The sequence below is a fragment of the Homo sapiens genome, chromosome 3 (genome assembly GCF_000001405.40).
Source record: "Homo sapiens chromosome 3, GRCh38.p14 Primary Assembly".
NCBI classification, from domain to species: Eukaryota; Metazoa; Chordata; class Mammalia; order Primates; family Hominidae; genus Homo; species Homo sapiens.
This window is the reverse complement of record NC_000003.12, coordinates 72,698,113-72,725,946: the sequence shown is the minus strand read 5'-3', so window position 1 is coordinate 72,725,946 and position 27,834 is coordinate 72,698,113. Positions and strand designations below refer to the sequence as shown.

The 27,834-nt window shown below is 44.3% G+C and overlaps 1 protein-coding gene and 1 long non-coding RNA gene across 2 annotated transcripts in view; both read left to right on the top strand.

The window, feature by feature from the left end:
• SHQ1 (SHQ1, H/ACA ribonucleoprotein assembly factor) overlaps window positions 1-675 on the top strand; it is a 123,174-nt gene extending 122,499 nt beyond the window's left edge. The window contains exon 12 of the transcript XR_001740192.3: window positions 92-675. The gene's annotated coding sequence lies outside the window, so the exon portion shown is untranslated. The remainder of the gene's footprint in view (window positions 1-91) is intronic.
• An 8,830-nt stretch (window positions 676-9,505) lies between these two features.
• LOC105377161 (uncharacterized) overlaps window positions 9,506-27,834 on the top strand; it is a 134,312-nt gene continuing 115,983 nt past the window's right edge. Inside the window, exons 1-2 of the long non-coding RNA XR_940962.3 lie at window positions 9,506-9,547; window positions 16,988-17,103. This is a non-coding gene — a long non-coding RNA (uncharacterized LOC105377161). The remainder of the gene's footprint in view (window positions 9,548-16,987; window positions 17,104-27,834) is intronic.

The following is a 27,834-nucleotide window of genomic DNA, read 5'->3' as shown; positions in this document are numbered from 1 at the left end:
TTAAATAATATGCGTAAAGTGCTTAGAAACATACCTAGTACATAGTATTTGTTAAGTAAATTCTCTTATTTTTTTCTTCTGCCCATTCCAGAAAGGCTCTGGGGAGTCTAACAGCCAGGACAGACAAAGAGCAGTAAAACAAATACTGAGGAACTCAAGAACCATGTGAGGTTGACACCTGAGGTATTACTTGGACTCTGTACTGCAAAGAACATTTATTCATTCAACAAGCATCTACTGAGTACCTCCGGTGTCCCAGGCACTGTGCTCGTGGCTGGGCTTACAGCTGTGACTTCATAGAGGTTAGATTTGAGTGTGTGCGTGTACACCTGGCATAGGTAAACAAGCAAGTCATTAAGATAATTTCAGAGTGATAAAGATGGTGAAGAAAATGAGCAGGACGAAGTGAAACGGAGGAGTGGGGTGGGGGCAACTCCAGGATGTGCGGTTGGGAAAGGCCTCTCTGAGGAGATGAGGGGACAAGAAAGAAGCAGCCCTGTGAGGCCCCAGGATGAGAACTTTCCACAGAGCGAGCAGCAAGTGCAAAGGCCCTGGGCTGCATGGGAGCTCAGAGAATCAGGAGGATAGCAAGGAGGCTGCCATGCTGGAGGAGAATGAGGGAAGAGAGTGCAGAGGCCAGTTTGGAGAGGCTGAATAAAGCCTGAGTGTGCGTGGTGCAGTGTTCAATTTTTATTTTTGAGGATTTATTTATGTATTTACTTGAGACAGAGGTCTTGCTCTGCCACCAGGCTAGAGGGCAGTGGTACCATCACGGCTCACTACCGCCTCGACCTCCCTGGGTGCAACTAATCCTTCCACCTTAGCCTCCTGAGTAACTGAGAACACAGGTGCATGCCATCTTGCTCTGCCAATTTTTGTATTTTTTGTAGAGATGGCTTTTTGCTATGTTGCCCAGGCTGGTCTTGAACTCCTGAAGTCAAGCAATCCGCCCACCTTGGCCTCCCACCATGCTGGGATTACAGGCGTGAGCCACCGCACCCGGTTTTTTGAGGACTTCAAACAGCAAACAACATAGTTTCCGTTACCAGTTAAAAAGTTTAGAAACCCAGCTGGGTGCGGTGGCTCACGCCTGTAATCCCAGCACTTTGGGAGGCCAAGGCGGGCGGATCACGAGGTCAGGAGACCGAAACCATCCTGGCTAACAAGGTGAAACCCTGTCTCTACTAAAAATACAAAAAAAATTAGCTGGGCATGGTGGTAAGCGCCTGTAGTCCCAGCTACTCGGGAGGCTGAGGCAGGAGAATGGCGTGAACCCGGGAGGCGGAGCTTGCAGTGAGCCGAGATCGCGCCACTGCACTCCAGCCTGGGCAACAGAGTGAGACGCCGTCTCAAAAAAAAAAACAAGTTTAGAAACCCAACTCAAGGTAGCTTAAACAAAAGGAGGGATATATTAAAGAACAGCAACAGTGTCTCAGGGAAGCCAGGGGGAGGAACAGAGCTGGGCTTGAAACTGGGAGGGCGATTTCTCCATCCCCATTGCCGGTTTTCTTTATACTGTTTGTGACCCAGTCCATGTTGTGGAACACAGCTGCCGACTACTCCTGAAATTTGTGAAATTGACTTCTGTAGTCTGGCATCTCAAGGGTGACTCATCTCTCAGTGCCAACACGCCTCAGGTAAGGACTCAGGAACTGGCTTGAGCCAGGAGTCCACTCCTGGACCAATCAGCTATGGCCAGGGTGGAATTGAGTCACACTCCACCTCCTAGTTGTTCTTAAGTAAGGATGGGGGCTGGGCACGGTGGCTCAGGCCTTCAATGCCAGCACTTTGGGAGTCCGAGGTGGGCGGATCACGTGAGATCAGGAGTTCGAGACCAGCCTGGCCAACGTGGTGAAACCCCTTCTCTAATAAAAATATAAAAATTAGCCGAGTGTGGTGGCAGGCGCCTGTAGTCCCAGCTACTCGGGAGGCTGAGGCAGGAGAATCACTTGAACCCAGGAGGCGAAGCTTGCAGAGAGCCGAGATCATGCCACTGCACTCCAGCCTGTGTGACGGAGTGAGATGTTGTCTCAAAAAAAAAAAAAAAAAAAAAGTAAGGATGGGGCTCTGGGCAGGGAGAAATAATTCTCAAAGAGGGGAATGAGGGAAGAGTAAACAAAGGATCTAAGTTGCCAGAAAACCAGAAACTAAAGAATGAATGTACCTAGAAGCAAGCTCAGAATTTAGCTCTGAGCTTTGTGGTAGCCAAAGCTTTAAAAAAAAGAAAAAAAAGGAAAGAAAGAAAACAACGAATAAGCATCTGAGTTCTGATTGGCTAATAAAATAAGGCACAGCAGATCACGAGGAGAGAGAAGCATTTTCTTCCATGAAAGCTGAGAGGACATTCTTTAGGTTTCTATGTGGAAGGGGACTAAGAAATACAATAAATGACTCATTCAGCAACAGTTGAATTTAGATTTCTGAGATGATTAAGTTTTTCACAATGTGTGGGGAGTCCCTCCTGGTGAATTCTGAAAGTAGAGGGGACATTATTAAATTTCAGTGCAAGGGTAGGCAGGGTGTGTTTGAGGGGGAACCAAAGTCATGCTCATTATGTTTTCTTTCGATGACCTCATTGGCTCTTGGAGACCTCAGTGCCGTGGTAAAAAACTCAGGGTTTACCTACAGGACTGGGGAGAGGGGTGTGGAGTGGGTTGGGTGTGAGGAAAACATCAGGATAAAGGGCAGCTGACAATCCATCTCTGTCAGCAGGGGGAACTTGAGAAATAGCTGCTCCTTGGTGGTAGCCAAGTGGTGCCTCTTGGGCCTAATGATATTCTACCAGGAACTGGAAAGTCTGGACTATTAAAACATGACTGTTGACAATGAATTTAAATTCCAAGAGCCAAACAAAACGTGGTGAGGGTGAATGTAGCCCTCGGCCATGGGCGTGCAGGCCCCACCCCTCTGGCGTTGCAAGGACTGGGTAGCCTGTGTTCATATGAGCTTCCTGGAACACAGATGGCTCTGCCAGGCTCTTGGCCAGAACTGGGCACAGTGAGAGCCCCAAGTGCAGAAATTCTGTGTCCTGTAGAGCCAAGAATGCCACACCTCTTACTCCTTTCCTTCTTTTTCTTTTTCTATTTTTTTTTTCCAGACAGGATCTCACTCTGGGGTGCAGTGCATGATCACAGCCCACTGCAGCCTGGACCTCCCAGGCTTAAGCGATCCTCCCACCTTAACCTCATGAGTAGCTGGGGCAACAGGCATGTGCCACCATGCCTGGCTAATATATATATATATATTTTTTGAGACAGAGTCTCCCTCTGTTGCCAGGCTAGAGTGCAGTGGTGCGATCCCAGCTCACTGCAACCTCTGCCTCCCGGGTTCAAGAGATTCCCCTGCCTCAGCCTCCTGAGTAGCTGGGAATACAGGCACATGCCACCATGCTTGGCTAATTTTTTGTATTTTTTAGTAGAGACGGGGTTTCACCATGTTGGCCAGGATGGTCTCGATCTCTTGACCTCGTGATCCGCCCACCTCGGCCTCCCAAAGTACTGAGATTACAGGTGTGAGCCACCACGCCCGGCCAAATTTTTAAAAAAATCTTTAGTAGAGATGAGGCCTCTCCCTATGTTGACCAAGCCAGTCTTGAACTCCGGAGCTCAAGCAATCCTCCCGTTTTGGCCTCCCAAAGTGCTGGGATTACAGGTGGCATGGGTGACAGCACCCTCCCTCCCTTCCTCCCTTCCTCCCTTCCTCTCTCTTTCTTCCTCCCTCCCTCCTTCCCTCCCTTCTCCTTTCTCCCTTCTCTCTCTCCTTCCTTCCTTCCTTCCTTCCTTCCTTCCTTCCTTCCTTCCTCCTTCCTTCCTTCCTGTTGGGCCCCAGGTATCCAATGATGAGTAAAACAGGCCCTCCATTCTCTCAGGGAGTTTACATTCCAGTTAGGGAGCCAGACTTTCACAACTAATTACACAGTGAAGTGGTTCATCCAAGTTGTAAGATGTGCCAGGAGGGGAGCCTGCCGAAAGCCACCTTAGAGTGCTTACAAGGGAATCTGATCAAGTCTATGTTTAGGAAAATTCCCCGAGGAAATGACTTAAGCCGAGATCTTAAGGAGAATAAGGGAGGGTTGTGATTCCAGACAAAGCAGGCTGCTGTGACTGCTGTGAATTGGGAAGGAACTTGTCACTTGTCACTTGTCACCGGAGGGCAGAGTTACCAGATGGGGCTGGGGACCGAGGAAGGAGCCAGGCAGATTTTGTTAGCCATGTTGAAGATTTAGAACTCAAGCAAACTTATCCAAAACTTAGAAATATGGCAGAAAGGAAGACTGCAGTTTCTTTCCACGTCGGCTTAGAGCATTATTTGCCAGGCCTGCCCAAGGATTAGTTAATTCTATATGGGAATTGTACCTTGGTTTGATTTTGCTATTTACTGATTGAACTTGATCTCTATTAAGTTACATGTAAATTTGTGAATAGCTGTCCTGTTGAGATGCAAATGGTTTATGTGTGATAGAGGAGGCAACCCTAAAGGTTTTGGCTTTATCACCCTGAAGGACATTAGTCATTTTTGTTCCTAACTTAAAAAATGAACAAATAAATTAAACTTTACATCAGTACCCCCTCTCTGGGGGACTGTAGAAACCCCTGTCATCAAATGCTTTTTGAAGCAGCTCTACCGTGCTGCTGGCTCTCTTATTAATCAGTTAAATATTTGACACATGCTTGTTCTATATATTAATCAGTTAAATATTTGACACATGCTTGTTCTATATTAGTTTCAAAGCCAGGTTTTTATCTTCTCAACATTATTCTTTGACGGAACTCTCTCCAAAGTGTGATGAAAGCTGGAGGGTTTTAAGCAGGCAGCTGCCACGATTAAATTTGCCAGTGGACGCCAATGTTAAGGTTCTTCTGTGAAAATTAAGAAATGCAGGCTTCTATTTTTACCTTCAAGTGGAGGCTTTACCTCTAGGGAAAAATAACTGGTTTGGTTGAGGACCAATCTTCTGTTGTTATCACCAAGTGTGGGTTTATTATAGGGTCTTTCTGCAAACATAGGGGCCTCTAATCATTGCAGTGTCCATTTTGTTAAGACTTAAAGCATCAGATGATAATTTATTGTAATGGGATCTAAACTAATGAACTCCACTTACAATTAAAATGTTTTAGAAAGCTTTCTTTTCTCCTGGGTCTCCCCAGGAGGCCCAGCTCTGACAAAAGTAGAACCACTCTGCTGTGGGATAGATTGCTCATCAGCTCTGTCAAGTGTCAGGAGATGGGCCATCTCTTTAAAGTGCTTAAAAAGGGGGAGGGGGGAAGCATCCATTTCTATAAATTATTGAATATGGATTTAAAATCACCTATTTGGAGAAGTGTTGAAATTGCACGTGCTAATTGAAGAGCCAGAGAAACAGCATTGGGACTGCAGCGAGGAGGCCAGTAATTGTTCCCGAGCTTTTGGTGGTCAGAATGAAGGTGACAGCACCCTGGGCAGCCACAGGATCTAAATGGAGTCCCAAGTAGAAAGGCAGCACTTCGTGCACCGGGAATTATGCTAGAGCCCGACCTCTCTGCTATCTCCTCTAATCCCTAAGGTATTGGCAAGGGGACCGTTGTTGCCTTCCTGCAGGTAGGAAACTGAGCCCCTCAGAGGTCGAGTGACTTGCCAGAGGTCACTCAGCTAGTAGGTGGCTGAGGTGACTTCTGAATCCAGGTGTTTCAGATTCAGTGTGTCAATATGCCTTTCTGTAATTTGCAGACATTCTTCACCTCAGTTGTCATTTTCTCAGTGTTTATGCTCCAATGATATCATTCAAACTGATATAGCAGAAAGAGCATGACCACCCCCCAACATGCCCCCAGAGAATTAATGCTCAGCTTTAGGCAATTGACAGATAATTGGGAAATTATGATCCTCATTTCTTCCCTCCCTGCCGGCCTCTCTTCCTTCTTTCATAATTCTGTTGAATACCTCCTTCAAGTTTTTGCTCAAGGCTGAGCGTGGTGGCTTACGCCTGTAATCCCAGCACTTTGGGAGTCGGAGGAGGGTGAGTCACTTCAGATTGGAAGTTCGAGACCAGCCTGGCCAACATGGTGAAACCCCGTCTCTACTAAAAATACAAAAATTAGCTGGGCGTGGTGGTGGGCATCTGTAGTCCCAGCTACTTGGGAGGCTGAGGCAGGAGAATCGCTTGAACCCAGGAGGGAGGTTGCAGTGAGCTGAGATAGTACCAAGGCATTTCAGCCTGGGTGACAGAGTGAGACTCCATCTCAAAAAAAAAAAAAAAAAAAAAAAAAGGTTTTGCTCAAATATCATCTATTCAGTAAAGCCTCCCATGGCCACCTTCCTTAAAATTGCAGCCTACATGAGCCCTCAACCCTCTTTTCTGTTACCCTATTCTATTGCTTTTCCCCCATATCATGTATCTTCTAATATGCTACATAATCTACTTATTTATTTTCTTATTATTTATTGTTTGTCTTCCTTTAACAGCATGGAGACACTAAGCAAGAATCTTCATCTATTTTGTTCACTAGTGTCTTTCCTTCTTTCCTTTCTTCCTTCCTTGCTCCCTCCCTCCCTCCTTCCTTCCTCCCTCCCCTCCCCTTCCTTCCTTCTTTCCTTCCTTCCTTCCTGCCTTCCTGCCTTCCTTCCTTGCTTCCTTCCTCTCTTTCTCTTTGCTTCTTCCTTTTCTTCTCTCTCTCTCTCTTTTCCTTTCCTTTCCTTTCCTTTCTTTCCCTTCCCTTCCCTACCCTTACCCTTCCTTCCTTCCTTCCTTCCTTCCTTCCTTCCTTCCTTCCTTCCTTCCTTCCTTCCTTCCTTTCTATTTTTGAGACTGGGTCTCAGTCTGTCACCCAGGTTGGAGTGCAGAGGTACAATCACAGCTCACTGCAGCCTCACCTTCCCAGGCCCAGGTAATCCTCCCATCTCAGCCTCCCAAGAAGCTGAGACAACAGGCACGTGTCACCATGCCTGGCTTTGTTGTATTTTTTGTAGAGACAGGATTTTGCTATGTTGCCCAGGCTGATCTTGAACTCCTGATCCAAGGCCTCGCAAAGTGCTGGGATTATAGGCGTGAGCCACTGCACTTAGCCCACTTTTGCATTTCAAGTGTTTAGAACAATGCCTAGAATGTAGTAGGTGCTTAATAAATATTTGTTGATTTATTGCATGAATGAATACCTGTTACTGGATTAGTTATAGTTTAACAAAAACCAACAAGCAACGTAAACTAGTACAATAGTTTCCTTTTATCCATGGTTTTGCTTTCGGAGATTTTAGTTACTTTCAATCGACTGCAGTCTGAAAACAGGTGACTACAGTAAAATAAGATATTTGAGATAGAAAGACCACATTCACATAACTTTTATTATAGCATATTGCTATAATCGTTTGATTTTATTATTATTTATTTTATTATTTATTTATTATTATTGTTGCTAATCTCTTACTGTGCCTAATTTATAAACTTAATCATAGGTATATATATATATAAGGGAAAGAACATAGTGTATATGCAGGGTTTAGAACTAACTGAAGTTAGGCCGGGCGCAGTGGCTCAAGTCTTTAATCCCAGCACTTTGGGAGGCCGAGGCAGATGGATCAAGAGGTCAGGAGATCGAGACCATCCTTGTTAACACGGTGAAACCCTGTCTCTACTAAAAATACAAAAAAAAAAAAAAAAAAAAAAGAACTAACTGAAGTTGGATGGGCACAGTGACGCACACCTGTAAACCCAGTACTTTGGGAGGCTGAGGCAGGTGGATACCTGAGGTCAGGAGTTTGAGACCAGCTTAGGCAACATGGTAAAACGCCATCTCTACTAAAAATACAAAAGTTAGCTGGGTGTGATGGCACACAGCTGTAATCCTATCTACGAGGCTGAGGCAGGAGAATCACTTGAACCTGGGAGGCGGAGGTTGCAGTGAGCCAAGATTGTGCCACTGCACTCCAGCCTGGGTGACAGAGTGAGACTCCGTCTCAAAAAAAAAAAAAAAAAAGAAAAGAAAAGAAAAGAAAAGAAAAGAAAAGAAAAAAGAACTATCTGAAGTTTCAGGCATGCACTGAGGGTCTTGGAACATATTCTCCTGGATAAGGGGGCACTGCTGTATTAATTGTACACACCTGTGTGTGAGGCATTGTTCTAAGGGTTTACCCATAGTCTCTTCTTTAATCTTCACAGTATAGCAACTATTATTACATTTTACAGATGAGGAAACTGAGGCCCAGGAAAGCAGAATAACTTGACCAAGGTTACATACCTAGTACTTTTAAAATCAGCTTTGGTGAGGTATAGCTTTCATATAATAAAATGCACTCATGTTCAAGCACAGTTTTGGCAAGTGGGTACACCTGTGGAATCCTCACCAAACTCAAGATATGTAGCCTTTCCATCCTCCAACAATTCCCTCCCCTCTGCCACTTAGCAGTCTGTCCCTTCCAGTACCCAGCAAATACTAACCTGGTTTCTGTCCTTCAATGTTTGGCTTTTCTAGAATGTTATATAAAGTGGAATCACACAGCATGCACTCATTTATGTTTGGCTCTTTTACTCAGCATAATTATTTGAAATTCATCCATATTTTTCTGTGGATCAATGGTCCATTCATTTTTATTGCTGAGTAGTATTCTATTATGTGGAATATATCACAGTTTGTTTATCCAGTGCCTTTTGATGGACATTTGGGTTGTTTCCAGTTTGGGGATATTGGGAATAAATCTGCTATGAGCATTCATATGTAAGTTTTGTGGGCACATATGTTTTTATTTCTCTTGGGTAAATACCTAGAAATGAAATTGCTGGATTTTGTTTAGCTGTATGTTTAACTTCATATGATTTTATGCACCTCTTATGATTTATGGCTTAGCTATTTGTATGGCACCCAGACGGTTTCAGGAATAATTGTAAATGGTTGAACCCCAGAGAATTTTCCTGTCTCACTGGGCCATCCTTTTACAATCCCCCCTGGAAGGGCTGGTATTAGATGGCAGAAGTAGCCTTGATGGGGTGGGAGGAGCAGGGTGGGGGTCATGGATCCGCCCATGTCTTGGGCGGGCATGTCTACCCTCTGGGGCCCAATCTCCTCAAATGGGGAGAGTTTAATGCAATGGTGTGCCAGTAAATGTTTAATAAATGCTGCTTCAGAAAAGCTACATATGCTCTTGCATATATTTTTAAGAAATTTTACTGAGTAAACAATTTGAGAATAATAAAATGTGCAAAAGTCTTTCTTATAAATTCCACACAGCCAGTTGATTTTCACAAAATACTTTTATAGACTTTGCTCAACTCCCATATCAGTAGCCAACCAATAGTTGCAAATCATGAGTGAGTGCAGTTTGGATACGAATGTTGGTTGATATTTTTGCTTATGTTAAAGAGTAAGAGGCCAGGCGCAGTGGCTCATACCTGTAATCCCAGTACTTTGGGAGGCCAAGGCAGGCAGATCACCTGAGGTCAGGAGTTTGAGACCAGCCTGGGCAACGTGGTGAAACCCCATCTCTGCGGTTCCAAGATGGCCGAATAGGAACAGCTCCAGTCTATAGCTCCCAGCATGAGCAACGCAGAAGACGGGTGATTTCTGCATTTCCAACTGAGGTACTGGGTTCATCTCACTGGGTCTCATTGGACAGTGGGGGCAGGACAGTGGGTGCAGCCCACTGAGTGTGAGCCAAAGCAGGGTGAGGCATCGCCTCACCCAGGAAGTGCAAGGGGTCAGGGAATTCCCTTTCCTAGCCAAGGGAAGGGGTTACAGACGGCACCTGGAAAATCGGGTCACTCTCACCCTAATACTGCACTTTTCCAATGGTCTCAGCAAATGGCACACCAGGAGATTATATCCCGCGCCTGGCTTGGAGGGTCCCACGCCCATGGAGCCTTGCTCATTGCTAGCACAGCAGTCTGAGTTCGAACTGCAAGGCGGCAGTGAGGCTTGGGGAGGGGCGCCCACTATTGCTGAGGCTTGAGTAGGTAAACAAAGTGGCCAGGAAGCTCGAACTGGGTGGAGCCCACCGCAGCTCAAGGAGGCCTGCCTGCCTCTGTAGACTCCACCTCTGGGGGCAGGGCATAGCCGAACAAAAGACAGCAGAAACCTCTGCAGACTTAAATGTCCCTGTCTGACAGGGACTTGAAGAGAGTAGTGGTTCTCCCAGCATGGAGTTTGAGATCTGAGAACGGACAGACTGCTTCCTCAAGTGGGTCCCTGACCTCTGAGTAGCCTGCAAGTAGCCTAACTGGGAGGCACACCGCAGTAGGGGCAGACTGACGCCTCACATGGCTGGGTACCCCTCTGAGATGAAGCTTCCAGAGGAATGATCAGGCAGCAACATTTGCTGTACAGCAATATGTGCTGTTCTGCAGGCTCCGCTGCTGATACCCAGGCAAACAGGGTCTGGAGTGGACCTCTAGCAAACTCCAACAGACCTGCAGCTGAGGGTCCTGACTGTTAGAAGGAAAACTAACAAACAGAAAGGACATCCACACCAAAACCCCATCTGTCGGTCACCATCATCAAAGTCCAAAAGTAGATAAAACCACAAAGATGGGGAAAAAACAGAGCAGAAAAGCTGAAAATTCTAAAAATCAGAGCACGTCTCCCCCTCCAAAGGAACACAGCTCCTCACCAGCAACGCAACAAAACTGGATGGACAATGACTTTGACGAGTTGAGAGAAGAAGTCTTCAGACACTCGAACTTCTCTGAGCTAAAGGAGGAAGCTCCAACCCAACGCAAAGAAGTTAAAAACCTTGGAAAAAGATTAGATGAATGGCTAACTAGAATAACCAGTGTGGAGAAGTCCTTAAATGACCTGATTGAGCTGAAAACCATGGCACGAGAACTACGTGACGAATGCACAAGCTTCAGTAGCCAATTTGATCAACTGGAAGAAAGGGTATCAGTGATTGAAGATCAAATGAATGAAATGAAGTGAGAACAGAAGTGTAGAGAAAAAAGAATAAAAAGAAATGAACAAAGCCTCCAAGAAATATGGGACTATGTGAAAAGACAACTCTACGTCTGATTGGTGTACCTGAAAGTGATGGGGAGAATGGAACCAAGTTGGAAAACACTCTTCAGGATATTATGCAGGAGAACTTCCCCAACCTAGCAAGGCAGGCCAACATTCAAATTAAGGAAATAGAGAGAACACCCCAAAGATACTCCTTGAGAAGAGCACCTCCAAGACACATAATCGTCAGATTCACCAAAGTTGAAATGAGGGAAAAAATGTTAAGGGCAGCCAGAGGGAAAGGTCAGGTTACCCAGAAAGGGAAACCCATCAGACTAACAGTGGATCTCTTGGCAGAAACTCTACAAGCCAGAAGAGAGTTGGGCCAATATTCAATATTCATAAAGAAAAGAATTTTCAACCCAGAATTTCATATCCAGCCAAACTAAGCTTCATAAGTGAAGGAGAAATAAAATCCTTTACAGACAAGCAAATGCTGAGAGATTTTGTCACCGCCAGGCCTGCCCTACAAGAGCTCCTGAAGGAAGCACTAAACATGGAAAGGAACAACCGGTACCAGCCACTGCAAAAACATGCCAAATTGTAAAGACCATCGATGCTAGGAAGAAACTGCATCAACTAACGAGCAAAATAACCAGCTAACATCATAATGAGAGGATCAAATTCACATATAACAATATTAACCTTAAATGTAAATGGGCTAAATCCTCCAATTAAAAGACACTGACTGGCAAATTGGATAAAGAGTCAAGACCCATCAGATTGCTGTATTCAGGAGACCCATCTCACATGCAGAGACACACATAGGCTCAAAATAAAGGGATGGAGGAAGATCTACCAAGCAAATGGAAAACAAAAAAAGGCAGGGGTTGCAATCCTAGTCTCTGATAAAACAGGCTTTAAACCAACAAAGATCAAAAGAGACAAAGAAGGCCATTACATAATGGTAAAGGGATCAATTCAACAAGAAGAGCTAACTATCTTAAATATATATGCACCCAATACAGGGACACCCACATTCATAAAGCAAGTCCTTAGAGACCTATAAAGAGACTTAGACTCACACACAATAATAATGGGAGAATTTAACACCCCACTGTCAACATTAGACAGATCAATGAGACAGAAAGTTAACAAGGATATCCAGGAATTGAACTCAGCTCTGCACCAAGCAGACCTAATAGACATCTACAGAACTCTCCACCCCAAATCAACAGAATATACATTCTTCTCAGCACCACATCGCACTTATTCCAAAATTGACCACATAGTTAGAAGTAAAGCACTCCTCAGCAAATGTAAAAGAACAGAAATTATAATCAACTGTCTCTCAGACCACAGTGCAATCAAACTAGAACTCATGATTAAGAAACTCACTCAAAACCGCTCAACTACATGGAAACTGAACAACCTGCTCCTGAGTGACTACTGGGTACATAACGAAATGAAGGCAGAAATAAAGATGTTCTTTGAAACCAATGAGAACAAAGACAACATACCAGAATCGCTGGGACACATTCAAAGCAGTGTGTAGAGGGAAATTTATAGCACTAAATGCCCACAAGAGAAAGCAGGAAAGATCTAAAATTGACACCCTAACATCACAATTAAAAGAACTAGAGAAGCAAGAGCAAACACATTCAAAAGCTAGCAGAAGGCAAGAAAGAACTAAGATCAGAGAAGAACTGAAGGAGATAGAGACACAAAAAAACCCTTCAGAAAATCAATGAATCCAGGATCTGGTTTTTTGAAAAGATCAACAAAATTGATAGACCACTAGCAAGACTAATAAAGAAGAAAAGAGAGAAGAATCAAATAGATGCAATAAAAAATGATAAAGGGGATATCACCACTGATCCCACAGAAATACAAACTACCATCAGAGAATACTATAAACACCTCTACACAAATAAATTAGAAAATCTAGAAGAAATGGATAAATTCCTGGTCACATACACCCTCCCGAGACTAAACCAGGAAGAAGTTGAATCCCTGAATAGACCAATAACAGGCTCTGAATTTGAGGCAATAATTAATAGCCTACCAACCAAAAAAAGTCCAGGACCAGACGGATTCACAGCCAAATTCTACCAGAGGTACAAGAAGGAGCTGGTACCGTTCCTTCTGAAACTATTCCAATCAATAGAAAAAGAGGGAATCCTCCCTAACTCATTTTATGAGGCCAGTATCATCCTGATACCAAAGGCTGGCAGAGACACAACAAAAAAAGAGAATTTTAGACCAATATCCCTGATGAAGATCGATGCAAAAATCCTCAATAAAATACTGGCAAACTGAATCCAGAAGTACCTCTAAAAGCTTATCCACCATGATGACGTGGGCTTCATCCCTGGGATGCAAGGCTGGTTCAACATACGCAAATCAATAAACGTAATCCAGCATATAAACAGAACCAAAGACAAAAACTGCATGATTATCTCAATAGATGCAGAAAAGACCTTTGACAAAATTCAACAGCCCTTCATGCTAAAAACTCTCAATAAATTAGGTATTGATGGGACATATCTCAAAATAATAAGAACTATTTATGACAAACCCACAGCCAATATCATACTGAATGGGCAAAAACTGGGAGCATTCCCTTTGAAAACTGGCACAAGACAGGGATGCCCTCTCTCACCACTCCTATTCAACATAGTGTTGGAAGTTCTGGCCAGGACAATCAGGCAGGAGAAAGAAATAAAGAGTATTCAGTTAGGAAAAGAGGAAGTCAAATTGTCCCTGTTTGCAGATGACGTGATTATATATTTAGAAAACCCCATCGTCTCAGCCCAAAATCTCCGTAAGCTGATAAGCAACTTTAGCAAAGTCTCAGGATACAAAATCAATGTGCAAAAATCACAAGCATTCTTATACACCAATAACAGACAGAAAGCCAAATCATGAGTGAACTCCCATTCACAATTGCTTCAAAGAGAAGAAAATACCTAGGAATCCAACTTCCAAGGGATGTGAAGGACCTCTTCAAGGAGAACTACAAACCACTGCTCAAGGAAATAAAAGAGGATACAAACAAATGGAAGAACATTCCATGCTCATGGGTAGGAAGAATCAATATCATGAAAATGGCCATACTACCCAAGGTAATTTATAGATTCAATGCCATCCCCATCAAGCTACCAATGACTTTCTTCACAGAATTGGAAAAAACTACTTTAAAGTTCATATGGAACCAAAAAAGAGCCCACATTTCCAAGACAATCCTAAGCCAAAAGAACAAAGCTGGAGGCATCACGCTACCTGACTTCAAACTATACTACAAGACTACAGTAACCAAAACAGCATGGTACTGGTACCAAAACAGAGATATAGACCAATGAAACAGAACAGAGCCCTCAGAAATAATACCACACATCTACAACCATCTGATCTTTGACAAACCTGACAAAAACAAGCAATGGGGAAAGGATTCCCTATTTAATAAATGGTGCTGGGAAAACTGGCTAGCCATATGTAGAAAGCTGAAACTGGATCCCTTCCTTACACCTTATACAAAAATTAATTCAAGATGGATCAAAGACTTAAATGTTAGACCTAAAACCATAAAAACCTTAGAAGAAAACCTAGGCGATACCATTCAGGACATAGGCATGGGCAAGGACTTCATGTCTAAAACACCAAAAGCAATGGCAACAAAAGCCAAAATTGACAAATGGGATCTAATTTACTAAGGAGCTTCTGCACAGCAAAGAAACTACCATCAGAGTGAACAGGCAACCTACAAAATGGGAGAAAATTTTTGCAATCTGCTCATCTGACAAAGGGCTAATATCCAGAATCTACAAAGAACTCAAACAAATTTACAAGAAAAACACAAACAACCCATCAATAAGTGGGCGAAGGGTATGAACAGACACTTCTCAAAAGAAGACATTTATGCAGCCAACAGACACATGAAAAAATGCTCATCATCACTGGCCATCAGAGAAATGCCAATTAAAACCACAATGAGATATCATCTCACACCAGTTAGAATGGCAATCATTAAAAAGTCAGGAAACAACAGGTGCTGGAGAGGATGTGGAGAAGTAGGAACACTTTTACACTGTTGGTGGGACTGTAAACTAGTTCAACCATTGTGGAAGACACTGTGGTGATTCCTCAAGGATCTAGAACTAGAAATACCATTTGACCCAGCCATCCCATTACTGGGTATATACCCAAAGGATTACAAATCATGCTGCTATAAAGACACATGAATACATATGTTTATTGCGGCACTATTCACAATAGCAAAGACTTGGAACCAACCCAAATGTCCATCAATGATAGACTGGATTAAGAAAATGTGGCACATATACACCATGGAATAGTATGCAGCCATAAAAAAGGATGAGTTCATGTCCTTTGTAGGGATATGGTTGAAGCTGGAAACCATCATTCTGAGCAAACTATCGCAAGGACAAAAAACCAAACACTGCATGTTCTCACTCATAGGTGGGAATTGAACAAGGAGAACACTTGGACGCAGGAAGGGGAACATCATACACCGGGGCCTGTTGTGGGGTGGGGGAAGGGGGGAGGGAAAGCATTAGGAGATATACCTAATATAAATGGCAAGTTAATGGGTGCAGCACACCAACATGGCACATGTATACATATGTAACAAACCTGCACATTGTGTACATGTACCCTAGAACTTAAAGTATAATAATAATAATAAAAGAAACCCCATCTCTACTAAAAATACAAAAATTTAGCTGAGTGTGGTGGTGGGAGCCTGTAATCCCAGCTACTCAGGAGGCTGAGGCAGAAGACTCACTTGAACCTGGGAAGTGCAGGTTGCAGTGAGCCGAGATCACATGCCATTGCACTCCAGCCTGGGGAATAAGAACGAAGCTTCGTCTCAAAAAAAAAAAAAAAAAAAAGAGTAAGATGACAGTGAAACAACAAAGAAATATGCATTTATCAATGGCATAGAGACTTCTTTGCTTAATTGGTTAATAGTTCTTCAGTATTGGAAGAGTATTTTCTAATTCTTTGTGCTATTCATAATGTAACAGCTGCATACACAAGACACTTGGTATCAACATTTTCTTTATCACTTTCCTAAGTCTAGACAGTTGACGATGGTAGCTTAACCTCTGATTCACAGTGTTTGCCACTGTCTGTGGTGTAAATGCTCCTACCTTGATGTGTGGTGTCACTGAATGTGGATGTGGGAAGAGATGCATAATAGCACACCATTATGTGGTGTATCCACTACAGATAACAGTAGATATAAATAATCTCAATCACACATAATAGTAAAATATAGCAAAATACTTAGGAAGGGATGGTTCGTAGTATTATTACCTTTATTTTTTATTTTTTTTTTCTTTTTTCACTTTAGTAAACTGGTCTATATTACCTTTATTTTTAACATACTTTGTTTAGTGAAGGTTTCTGTTATTTTTAATAATGGCTGTGTTTAATAAGCAGCTTGCAAAATTCCTGGAAATTTTCAAATCAGCTCTTGGGAGCATGTGAGCTGGCTGATGCACACCCCTGGTTTGATGAGATTCTTCCAGAGGCCCAACCCAGTGCCCACCTCCAGGCAAGATTTTCAAGAAGGGCCCACATTTCAGACCTTTCCTCTCTGAGTCACTGTCTCTCCCAGCCAGGGCCAGGTCAGCTTCGTCCCTAAAAGGAGCAGATGTCTAGCAGTGTGTTAGCTTCCTAGATTGTAATAATAAAATATCACACACTAGGTGGCTTAAACAACAGAATTTATGTCTCACAGTTCTGGAGACTGGAAGGCCAAGATCAAGTGTGAGCAGGTTTGTTTTTCTCTTCTCCTTTCGGCTTGCCTATGGCCACTTTCTTGCTGTGTCCTCTTGTGGCCTTTTCCCAGTGCAGGTGCTTCCCTGGTGTCTGTCCTTATTCTCATAAGGGCACAGTCCTATTAGATTAGGGTCCCACTCTCATGACCTCATTTACCTTTAATTATCTCTTTAAAGGCCCTATCTACAAATGCAGTCACATTGGGGGTTAGGGTTTTAACAGATGAGTTGGGGAGGGACACACTTTAATCCACAACACACTGTGGTGTTTCTACTTTGCTGCAGGAGAGAAAGAGAAGCAGAGAGGTCACGACGCAGAACTTGATTCTGGAGCCAGAGCTGGGGCATCTTTTCCTGGGGTCTCCAGGTTGTGATCATGGACAGAGGCTGGCAAGGGGAAGGTATGATGACAGAACTCAAGTTGTGCAAGGGGAGACATGAGAGTACCCTCAGTTCTTATGCTCCTGCCATTCCAGAACTCCATGACATTGGAGCAGTATCGCCCTGAATGGGCAATTGAGCATAGTGGTCAAAGCCGTGGACCCCAGAGCCAGGCTTCCTGGGCTTCAAGTCTCAGCATGCCATTTACTAGCTGTGTGACCTCAGGCAAGTTACTGACCCACTCTGTGCATCAGTGTTCCCACCTAAAGAATGAAAATATGCCAGTACCTCCCTCAAGGGTTGCTGTGAAGATTACATGAACAAAATGTATATACAAATATATAGGCATGCATATTTATAATTAGACTGGAGATCATTCTTTGTGCCTGGCACAATTGTAAGTGAAGTATAAGTGTTAGCTATTGCAGCTGCAATTATTATCTGTTTCCTTCTCTCAAGTGTGTGTCTTTGAGAAGATCAACTGCTTGTCTCCTATGTCTTTGAAAACCTCCAGTCCCAATTACTATATCTGAAACTTAATAGATGTCCAATAAATGTGTTGGATTAAATTGAATTAAAAATATGTACCAAAGGGTATCAGAGTGATTAAACAGCCAGGAAACAAGAATATTCATTCATACATGGAATCATCTAATGATTTAATCATTAATTGATTTAATGAATAATTGTTACAGCTTTATTGAAATATAATTCACACATCATACAATTCACCCATTGAAAATGTACAATTTAGTGGTTTTTTTTCTTTTTGAGACCGAGTCTCGCTCTGTCCCCAGGCTGGAGTGCAGTGGCGGGATCTCGGCTCACTGCAACCTCCACCTCCCGGGTTCAAGTGATTCTCCTGCCTCAGCCTCCCAAGTAGCTGGGACTACAGGCATGCACCACCATGCCCAGCTAATTTTTTGTGTATTTTTAGTAGAAACGGGGTGTCACCATTTTGGCCAGGATGGTCTTGATCTCTTGACTTCGTGATCTGCCCGCCTCAGCCTCCCAAAGTGCTGGGATTACAGGCATGAGCCACCGTGCCCGGCCCAATTCCATGGTTTTTTGTGTATTCACAGAGTTGTGAAAACATGATCACACAATGAATTTTAGAACATTGTCTCACCCTGAAAAGAAACTCCGCATTCATTAGCAGTCATTCTTCATTTCCCCCCAAATCCACCAGGCCTGGGCAAACACTGATCTACTTTCTGTCTGTATAGATTTGCCTATTCTGGATGTTTTTTGTAAGCGGGATTGTACTATATGTGTTTTTTAATGGGTGGCTTCTTTCATTTAGCGCAGTGTTTTCAAAGATCATCCATATTGTAGCATGTATTAGTAGAACAAATAACTTTTAAACGTCTGCTGCACACCATGAGATAAACCAGAGAGAACCTGTGTAAAATGCTTATAGTCTAGAACACACGTGTACACAAAGAACTGTCCGTGATTGTTCAGAGCAGCTTAGTCAAAAAATTAGAAGCAGCCCTAATGTCCATGAACTGTGAATGGAAAAGCAAATTGTGGTACATTCATACAATAGAATACTACTGGGGAATATCAACGAAGAAAATACTAATAGCCCCCAACATGAATGAATCTCAGAATCAGTATGTTAACTTCAAGAAGTCAAACACAAAAGACAAAAGATGCTGTGTGGTTCCAGATATATGAAATTCTAAAAAAGGTGAAGCGATGTTGACAGAAAGGCTAGTGGTTGCCCCTGGGGCTGGGGCACCAGAGGAGGGGCTCAGCTGCAGAGGGGCCTGGGGGAACTTCTAAGGTGACGGAGCTGCTCTCTATACAGGCGATTATACCGATGTATACAATTACCAAAATCCATCAAACTATATAGTTAAAATGGATAGATTTTACTGTATATCAGTCAAAAAAATAAAAACATAGGTTTTTGCACTAGCACTACAGGCATGCGCCACCACACCGGGCTAATTTTTTATTTTTTTTTGTAGAGATGGGGTCTCACTGTGTTGCCCAGGCTGGTCTTGAATTCCTGGGCTCAAACAATCCTCCCACCTGAGCCTCTCAAATTGCTGGGATTACAGGTGTGAGCTGCCATGCCCCACAAAAACATACTTTTTGTGCTCCTGTTTATTAACTGGTACTTACTAAAAGCCAAATACTCCTAGAACTTTGTAGTATTATCCCTTTTAATTCCCACATCAACTAAGGTAGATGCTGTCTGTTATTGACTAAATTGTGTCTTCCCACAAAATTCAAATGTTGTAGCCCTAACTCTCAATGTGATGGTATTTAGAGACGGGGCTTTTGGGAGGTCATTAGGATTACATGAGGTCGTGGGGTAAGGCCTTGGTGATGGGATTAGTGCCTGTAGAAGAAGATGAAGAACTCTCTCTCCGTCTCTCTGTACATGCACTAAGGAAAGGCCATGTGAGGACACAGTGAGAAGGCCTCCTGTCTGCAGTCAGGAGGAAAACCATCACCAGAACCTGACCACGCTGGAACCCTGGTCTTGGACTTTCAGCCTCTAGGACTGTGAGAAAATACAGTTAATGCTTGAACAATTCAGAGGTTGGGACACTGACCCCCCATGTAGTAAAAAATCTATGTATAGCTTGAGACTCCCCAGAAACTTAACTCCTAATAGCCTACTGTTTACAGGAAGCCTTACCAATAACATAAATGGTCGATTGACACATATTTTATATGTTACATGTATTATATTCTATATTCTTACAATAAAGTAAGCTAGAGAAAAGAAAATGTTATTAAGAAAATCATGGCCAGGTGTGGTGGCTCACCTAAGGTCAGGAGTTCAAGACCAGCCTGACCAACATGGAGGAACCCCATCTCTACTAAAAATACAAAATTAGCCAGGTGTGGTGGCACATGCCTGTAATCCCAGCTACTCGGGAGGCTGAGGCAGGAGAATCGCTTGAACCCTGGAGGTGGAGGTTGTGGTGAGCTGAGATTGCGCCATTGCACTCCAGCCTGGGCAACTACAGCGAAACTGCGTCTCAAAAAAAAAGAAAAGAAAATATATTTACTATTCATTAAGTGGAAGTGGATCATCATGAAGGTCTTCATCCTCATCATCTTCATGTTGAGTAGGCTGAGGAGGAGGAAGAAGAGGAGGGCTTGGTCTTGCTGTCTCAGGGGTGGTAAGACAAAAGAAAATCCATGTGTAAGTGGACTCATGCACTTCAAACCCATGTTGTTCAAGGGTCAACTGTAGATTATTGTTGTGGTTTTTTTTGTTTTTTTTGTTTTTTGTTTTGGGACAGGGTCTTTCTCTGTTGCCCAGGCTAGAATGCAGTGGCATAATCATGGCTTGCTGCAGCCTTGACCTGCTGGGCATAAGCAATCCTCCCACCTCAGCTCCTGAGTAGCTGGGACCACAGGCATGCGCCACAACACCTGGCTGATTTTTAAAATGTTTTGTAGAGATGGGGTCTCGCTATGTTGCCCAGGCTGGTCTTGAAATCCTGAGCTCAAGTGATCCTCCCACCTTGGCCTCCCAAAGTATAGGGTTATAGGCAAGAGCCACTGTGCCCGGCTGGTTACTGTTGTTTAAGTCACCTGGATTATAGTATTTTGTTATGGCAGCCCACACTGACTAAGGCACTATCATAATTCCCATTTTACCAAAGTGGGAATTTAAGCATGGAGAGATTGCCCTTTTGTCAAGCATGTCTGGAATCCATTCAGACTTTGAATAATTGTTTCTTAATTTCCCCCCACCCCAAAACCACTCCTCTCCCCATATTCAGCAAATGCCCCTAGGAGGTGGTGCTATCTCCAACTGAGATTTAAAGCTCATCACTTGGTCGAAGCCGATCAGCTCATCATGATCCTCTGACCCCAAGGATTGGTTCAGGGCTGGGCAGTGGCCCCATTCGTGCCACTAAAACATAATACAACTTCTGCTGGGACTGCTGGAACTGCGGCACTTTCCTGATAGACAGGAATCTAGGAGGATGTAGGGCAGGAGCTGCAGCAGCTATGTTGCCACCATGCAGGGAAAACCCCTCTAAGGTGGAGCCGACCCTCTGGAAGTAGAGCTATTAGAGATGGAGAGGGAGAAAACAGGTTTGAGCCCCTATGTCAAACTGACCTGAAGTTAGGGTATCCCTGGACTCTTCAATTATACATGCCATTAGCCTCACCCCTCCCCCTGCACCCTCCTTTTTTTGCTTAAGCCAAAAAGATGTACTCAAGGTTGTCGCACAGCTGGTATTTACTCAGGGACACCATATTCAAGCCAAAGTTGATTCTACTGTGCTCACTCTTTTAGGTATTTAGCTCTAGGGGAGAAGGAAGAAAGAAGGATGTTGTATAAAAGGAGAGCAACTTTGGAAGATCTATTCAGATTTTGAATAGTTGTTTCTTAATTTCCCCCCACCACAACCCTACTCCTCTCCCCGCTGTCAGCAGATGTCCCTAGGAGGTGGTGCTATCTCCAGCTCAGATTTAAAGCTCATCACTTGGTCCAAGCCAACTGCAGCTTTGGGAAACTAAAGCAAGGATGTTGGAGTCATCCTATGTGTGTCGGAAGCATGGTCCGTCCTTATGGGTGGCATCTGTGGCTAAATTACTTGATCCTTTGGAGTCTCAGTTTCTTCCTCTATATAATGGGGATAACAATGCATCCATCCCTGTGGACCGTTGTGCGGTTTAAGCAAGACAATAAGTAAAAAATATTCAGTGCAGCATCTAGGAAATGCTCAAAAACAGTAACTATTTTATTGCCCAAAAATATTTACACGGTGACCCGTGAACTCCCTGGGCCACCCAGTAGTGGATTAGGTTATCTAATCATGCTGTAAATACTTTGTCTTGTCTTGTTTTGTTTTTGAATGTTTTGAATTGTTGTAATGATTTTAATACCACTGGGCTCCTCTGTGGACGCTTAGACTTGAAGGGCAGCAGGGATGAAAGAGCAGTATCATCCATGCCCCTATCTTTCCTTGAAAGTCAGTTCCTCCTAAACACTGCTGTTGGATTTGTCTTGCTCTTTTTTTTTTTTTTTTTTTTTTTTTTTTTGAGATGGAGTCTTGCTCTGTCGCCCAGGCTGGAGTGCAGTGGCGCAATCTCGGCTCACTGCAAGCTCTGCCTCCCAAGTTCAGGCCATTCTCCTGCCTCAGCCTCCCGAGTAGCTGGGACTACAGGCACCCGCCACCGCGCCCAGCTAATTTTTTGTATTTTTAATAGAGATGGGGTTTCACTGTGGTCTCGATCTCCTGACCTTGTGATCCGCCCACCTCGGCCTCCCAAAGTGCTGGGATTACAGTCGTGAGCCACCACGCCCAGCCCTGTCTTGCTCTTTATTCCTCATGATGCATAGGATGTTGGGAGGAGTAAATTAGTTAATTCATGTAAAGTGCTTAGCTTGGGGGTGGCAGGTTTTAGCAACTAAGTGCGGCCCTGTGCTAAGAATTTGACATTCTTTCCTTTATTCCTCTTACCTTCTCAATGAGGCAGGCATTACTGTTTGCCCATTTTGCAGATAAGAAAACCGAGGCTTGGAGAGTTAAGGAGGTTGATCAAGGTCCTCACACAGCAAGGAAATAACCAAGCTAGGACTGAGCCTTTTGCTTCCAAAACCTGGCTGTGCTCTCTTCGACCAGACAGAATGCTTGCAGGAAGTCTAATGGCCACATGTCCCCCAGATGCATATGCAAAAATGTGGTCATCACAGCTACGCTGTTACCTGCGTTCTCAGATTGATCCCCAGGCTAAAAGTCAGTTTTACTTAATGAAAGGTACCAAAAAGGAGGATGCAACCTCCCCCTCATCCTTTCTGGGTAGAATTAACTTGGTTTTCCCAGATCTCCTGGTTTCCCAAGACAAGCCAGAAATCTGCATTCTTTATGAACACTCCATATTTCCCGGGACAGATATTTAGCAGAGTGTCTTCCCATCCTTATGCACTGGATGGGAACTTCAAATGAATGTGTGTGGAACAGTGAGTCTAATGGCAGAACCTGGGGTGCCTTTGGAGCAGACCTCCTTTTGGAGCTCACTGGTGTTGTGAACCAATGCTGGGGAAGTGAATGTCAGGGCATGTTTCTAAGGGTGACCCTGATAGATAGAAACAAGCACCTCCCCTTCCCAGGGAAGGAATTTTAACCCGCAGCATGTAGAACCCCTTCAGCCATCCAACAGTGGTTTATTTCAGCCTGCAGACTTCAGAGAGGAGTGCGCCAAGGTCAGGTCATCCCCAGGAGAGGCCTGCAGCTGAACAAGGTCATGGCCAGGAGATATTTGCTTGTGATTTAGTTATCACAGGGTGAGGCCCACACAGTCCCAACTGTCACAGTGTTCTTGGCAGCCCGACACCAGCCAACAGAGAACAGACGACAGATGAGGGTGGCATGAAGAGCTGTTGCTCTGGGACGCCCACGGCATGCCTGGCCTTTGCAGGCCATGCCTCTGCCCCTCAACTTATCTGACAACGGCTTTCCAGATGAGGAAACTGAGTCACTAGAGGCAAAGTGACCTCCTCTGGTTCATACAGCTAGTACGTGGCAGAAGTGGAATTTTTAACCTAGGTTGATCTGGCTCCCAGTTAATGCTAAGGGATTCATTGACCACAAGAAATAGAAATGTCCTTTGGGCAGGACTGTTGTAGCTCCTCATAAGGAAGAAATACAGTTGCAGGTTACAAACTGCAGATTTATAGTCCAATCCCACCTGCAGAAATGTTTTGTTTGGCCTAAAGAAAGTTTAAAAAAATGTTTAAATTCATTATCAACTTTTAAAACTATGGAGTGTTCATAAAGAATGCAGATTTCTGGCTAGTCTTGGGAAACCAGGAGATCTGGGAAAAGCCAGCTGGAGCTGAGGGTGACAGCCTCCTTTAGAAGAGACACAGCCGGGCGCAGTGGCTCACCCCCGTAATTCCAGCACTTTGGGAGGCCTAGGCAAGCGGATCACGAGGTCAGGAGTTCGAGACCAGCCTGGCCAACATGGTGAAACCCCGTCTCTACTAAAAAATACAAAAAATTAGCCGGACGTGGTGGTGTGTGCCTGTAATCACAGCTACTCAGGGAGCTGAGGGAGGAGAATCGCTTGAACCTGGGAGGTGGAGGTTGCATTGAGCCAAGATCACAGCATTGCACTCTAGCCTGGGCAATAGAGTTAGACTCCATCTCAATAAATAAATAAATAAATAAATAAATAAATAAATAAATAAATAAATAAAAGGTACATGAGCCCCCTAGAGTGACAAAGCCCCCATCAACTTGGGGCCCTGTTCAGTGGGAAGTAAGATGACCCCAAGGCTGCAGAAGGAGGCTGGATTACAGCCAAGGGGAGTCCTTGGACACCAATAGTTAAGGGTACCAGCCTCTCAGATCTTCAGTGTGTTTGCTAGGGCTTCTATAGCAAAGTACCATAGACTGGGTGGCTCACACAACAGAAATGCACTTCCTTGCAGTTCTGCCAGCAAGAAGTCCAAGATCGAGGTGTGAGCAGGATTGGTTTCTTGGCCTCTCTCTTTGGCTTGCCTTCTTCCTGTGTCTTCACAGGAAGGCCTTTCACAGGAGGTCTTTCCTCCGTGTCTGTGTCCAAATCTCCTTATAAGGACACCAGTCAGACTAGATTAGGGCCCACCCTAATTACCTCATTTTACTTTAAGTACTTCTTTAAAGACCCTTTCTCCAAATACAGTCACATTCTGAGGTACTGGCAGTTAAGGACTTCAAGATATAAATCTTAGGGGTACATAATTCAACCCTTAACAATCAGTTACTGATTGTCTTCCCATAGGGGTAGAGCCAGTTTTGTAGGATCAGAAGCAGTTTTGGAGGAATTCTTTATAGGAATTCTTTATAAAAATTCTTTATTATAAAAAAGTGCAATTATGCATGTAAAATTAGGTATAGGGAGCAGAGCTGTTGGTGCCCCACCCATATTCCAGAGATTCTAGCACTTCAGCATGTCCCAGACACTTCAGCTGCCAGGATCACCAGCCTTTTGTCCATAAAAGTACTGGGGAGGCCGGGCACGGTGGCTCACGCCTGTAATCCCAGAACTTTGGGAGGCCGAGGCAGGCGGATCACGAGGTCAGGAGATTGAGACCAGCCTGGCTAACATGGTGAAACCCCGTCTCTACTAAAACTACAAAAAATTAGCTGGCCTTGATGGTGGGCGCCTGTAGTCTCAGCTACTAGGGAGGCTGAGGCAGGAGAATGGTGTGAACCCGGGAGGTGGAGCTTGCGGTGAGCCGAGATCATGCCACTGCACTCCAGCCTGGGTGACAAAGTGAGACTCAGTCTCAAAAAAAAAAAAAAAAAAGTGCTTGGGAATGACTGCTACTCCCTGTTCTTGCCCTGCAGAAGCCCTCAGCCAATGACTCCTTGGGATCATTCTGAGGTGTGTGTTCTCTCCTGTGTCTTAACCATGTCTTTTATTTTCTGTATTTCTGATGCTTTGACATCTGAGATCTTGCTGACACTGGAGGGACTGCCCTTTCCAGGGCTAGCCAATTCCTAGAGAGGGTAAGCAACTCAACCCAACCAGCCCGTCCAGAGCCCATACTCCCAACCACCTTTACTGAGCTCTGCCCAGCCACTATCTACCTGGCCCAATCAATCTCCCTGGGGCCAGGGACCAGACAACTAGGGACAGCCCCTATACCCCAGAGCCTGCTGAATTATTCAAACTAGCCAACCCTGCCTTGGCCGATCATTCTCATGGAGACCCAATAAAGGCTATGGCTCATGCTTTCCTCCTGCTCTTTCTGCCTCCTGACCCACCCCAGTGCTTCCCTATGGGGCCCCTTGTGGCATGGCGGGTCCCCTCCCGTTGGGAGGTATAACAAGATAACTTTCAATGACAGTGATCCCCTGAGCTGTTGGCTTTGCCATAGCTAAATAATAATAAAACCTACATTTTAAAACACGCCGTCTCCCAAAGGCCCTCATGGGATAAGCTCCCGTTGCCCACAGTGGGAGCTGCCTGGATAACGCAGCCTTTGTTGGCCGTCTGCCCTTCCTGTTCTCATTTCCCCACTTCCCTGCCAGTGTTTCCTGTGCCTCCCAAATAAGCCAACCATATTCCTATCCTTGCCCCAGGGGCTGCTTCCAGAGGAACAAAATTAAGTCAGCACAAAAGTGAATATTTATTTTAAATACAGAGAGGAAATGAAAATGGAGACAGTGGACTTAATGGATGGCCATTGAGGTATCTTATATGGGCAAATTCTACAAAACCATGTGACCACACATGCACATACTGTGAGGGCTTTTGGAAGGGGTCCAGGTCTTGATGCAGGATAAATCTGCCTCTACCTCCCTGCCTAGGGTGCAGGCTCCGTGGGTACCAGGACAGTGCCCAGTGCAGGGGCTAACACATAGTAGTTGCTCCATAAATAATAGTTTAATAGGATAGGTGCAGTGGCTCATGCCTGTAATCCCTGGACTTTGGGAGGCCGAGGTGGAAGGGTCACTCAAGTCCAGGAGTTTGAGACCAGCCTAGGCAACATAGCAAGGTGCTGTCTCTACAAAAAGTTCTTAAAAAATTAGCCAGATGTGGTAACATGTGCCTGTAGTCCCATCTACTTGGGAGGCTGAGGTAGGAGGATTGTGTGTGTCCAGGAGTTCAAGCTGTAGTGAGCTATGATTGCACCACTGTGCTGGCCAACAGAGTAAGACTCTGTCTCTAAAACAATAATAATAATAGCTTAATAAATGAACAGTGTAACAAGGATATGCCAATTAGGCAGAGAAGACTCTGATGTACTCTCCTCTCTCCTGGGTGGTGCTTGGGTAGACATCCTTTGAATTCCCTTTTTGATGATCAAGTCTCCATTAGATGGACACAATTTTTTTCTGTAAATGCACTAATATCTTTATTCTCACAGACCTGGGAGCCAGGATATGTCTTTAGAACCACTTTGCAATTTGCTGATCTGATCCATTGTGTACTGACTGTGGTTTATCTCCCAGATGGCAACTCTATCTCCATTATTTCTAAGTTCCTTGTTGGGTAGGTGGGACATCATGACCCCTACACAAGGAGCCAGGCATGGTATTGACTAACATATGATGTGTAACTGCGCAGCCTGCATGGTTGGAAGCTTCTCCACTCCCTAGCAGAATCTGATTTTGGGCAAGTTACTTAGACTCCCTGCCCCTCAGTTTTCTCAGCTATAAAATGGGGATAATGACAGTACCACCTTTCAGATTAGTGGGAAAATTCAATGAGATAAGGCATTCAAGCCCTTAGCACAATGTCTGATGATAGCTAGTGCTTAGTACATGAAGACTGTTTATGGGAAATGTAATGCTATGCCCAAAGACTGTTAATTCTATAAGGCTAAGTTTTTCTGTTGCAATCCACAGGCCTAGGGCAGCATGGAGTTAATTCTAAAACAGACTTTTTATTAGTCTCTGGGAGCTTGTGAAGTACAGATAGGGAATGCTCTAACGTGAACAAGGCACCATAAATGATGTGCTTTGTTTCCTGTAGGGGTGGTTTCCTAGTGACTCTCAGGGAGCCAGGTCCCTCTTGCCTAAACAGTGGGGCTTCCTGAGGGAAACAGCCCTCCTGTGGTGGGTCAGTCAAGAAGGAATTGCTGGCCCATGGAATGTTGTTTACCACCAACGGCTTTTGGCAACACAGAGGGGGATAAACTTAATGGATGAACTGCAGAAGCAGAGAGGCAGAGAGCATGAGTGAGCACTCCTGGCAAGCTTCATACAAGGAGGGTGCAATCTATAGAAAACAAGATTTACTGAGATGACAAACGTGTGTGAGGTAAA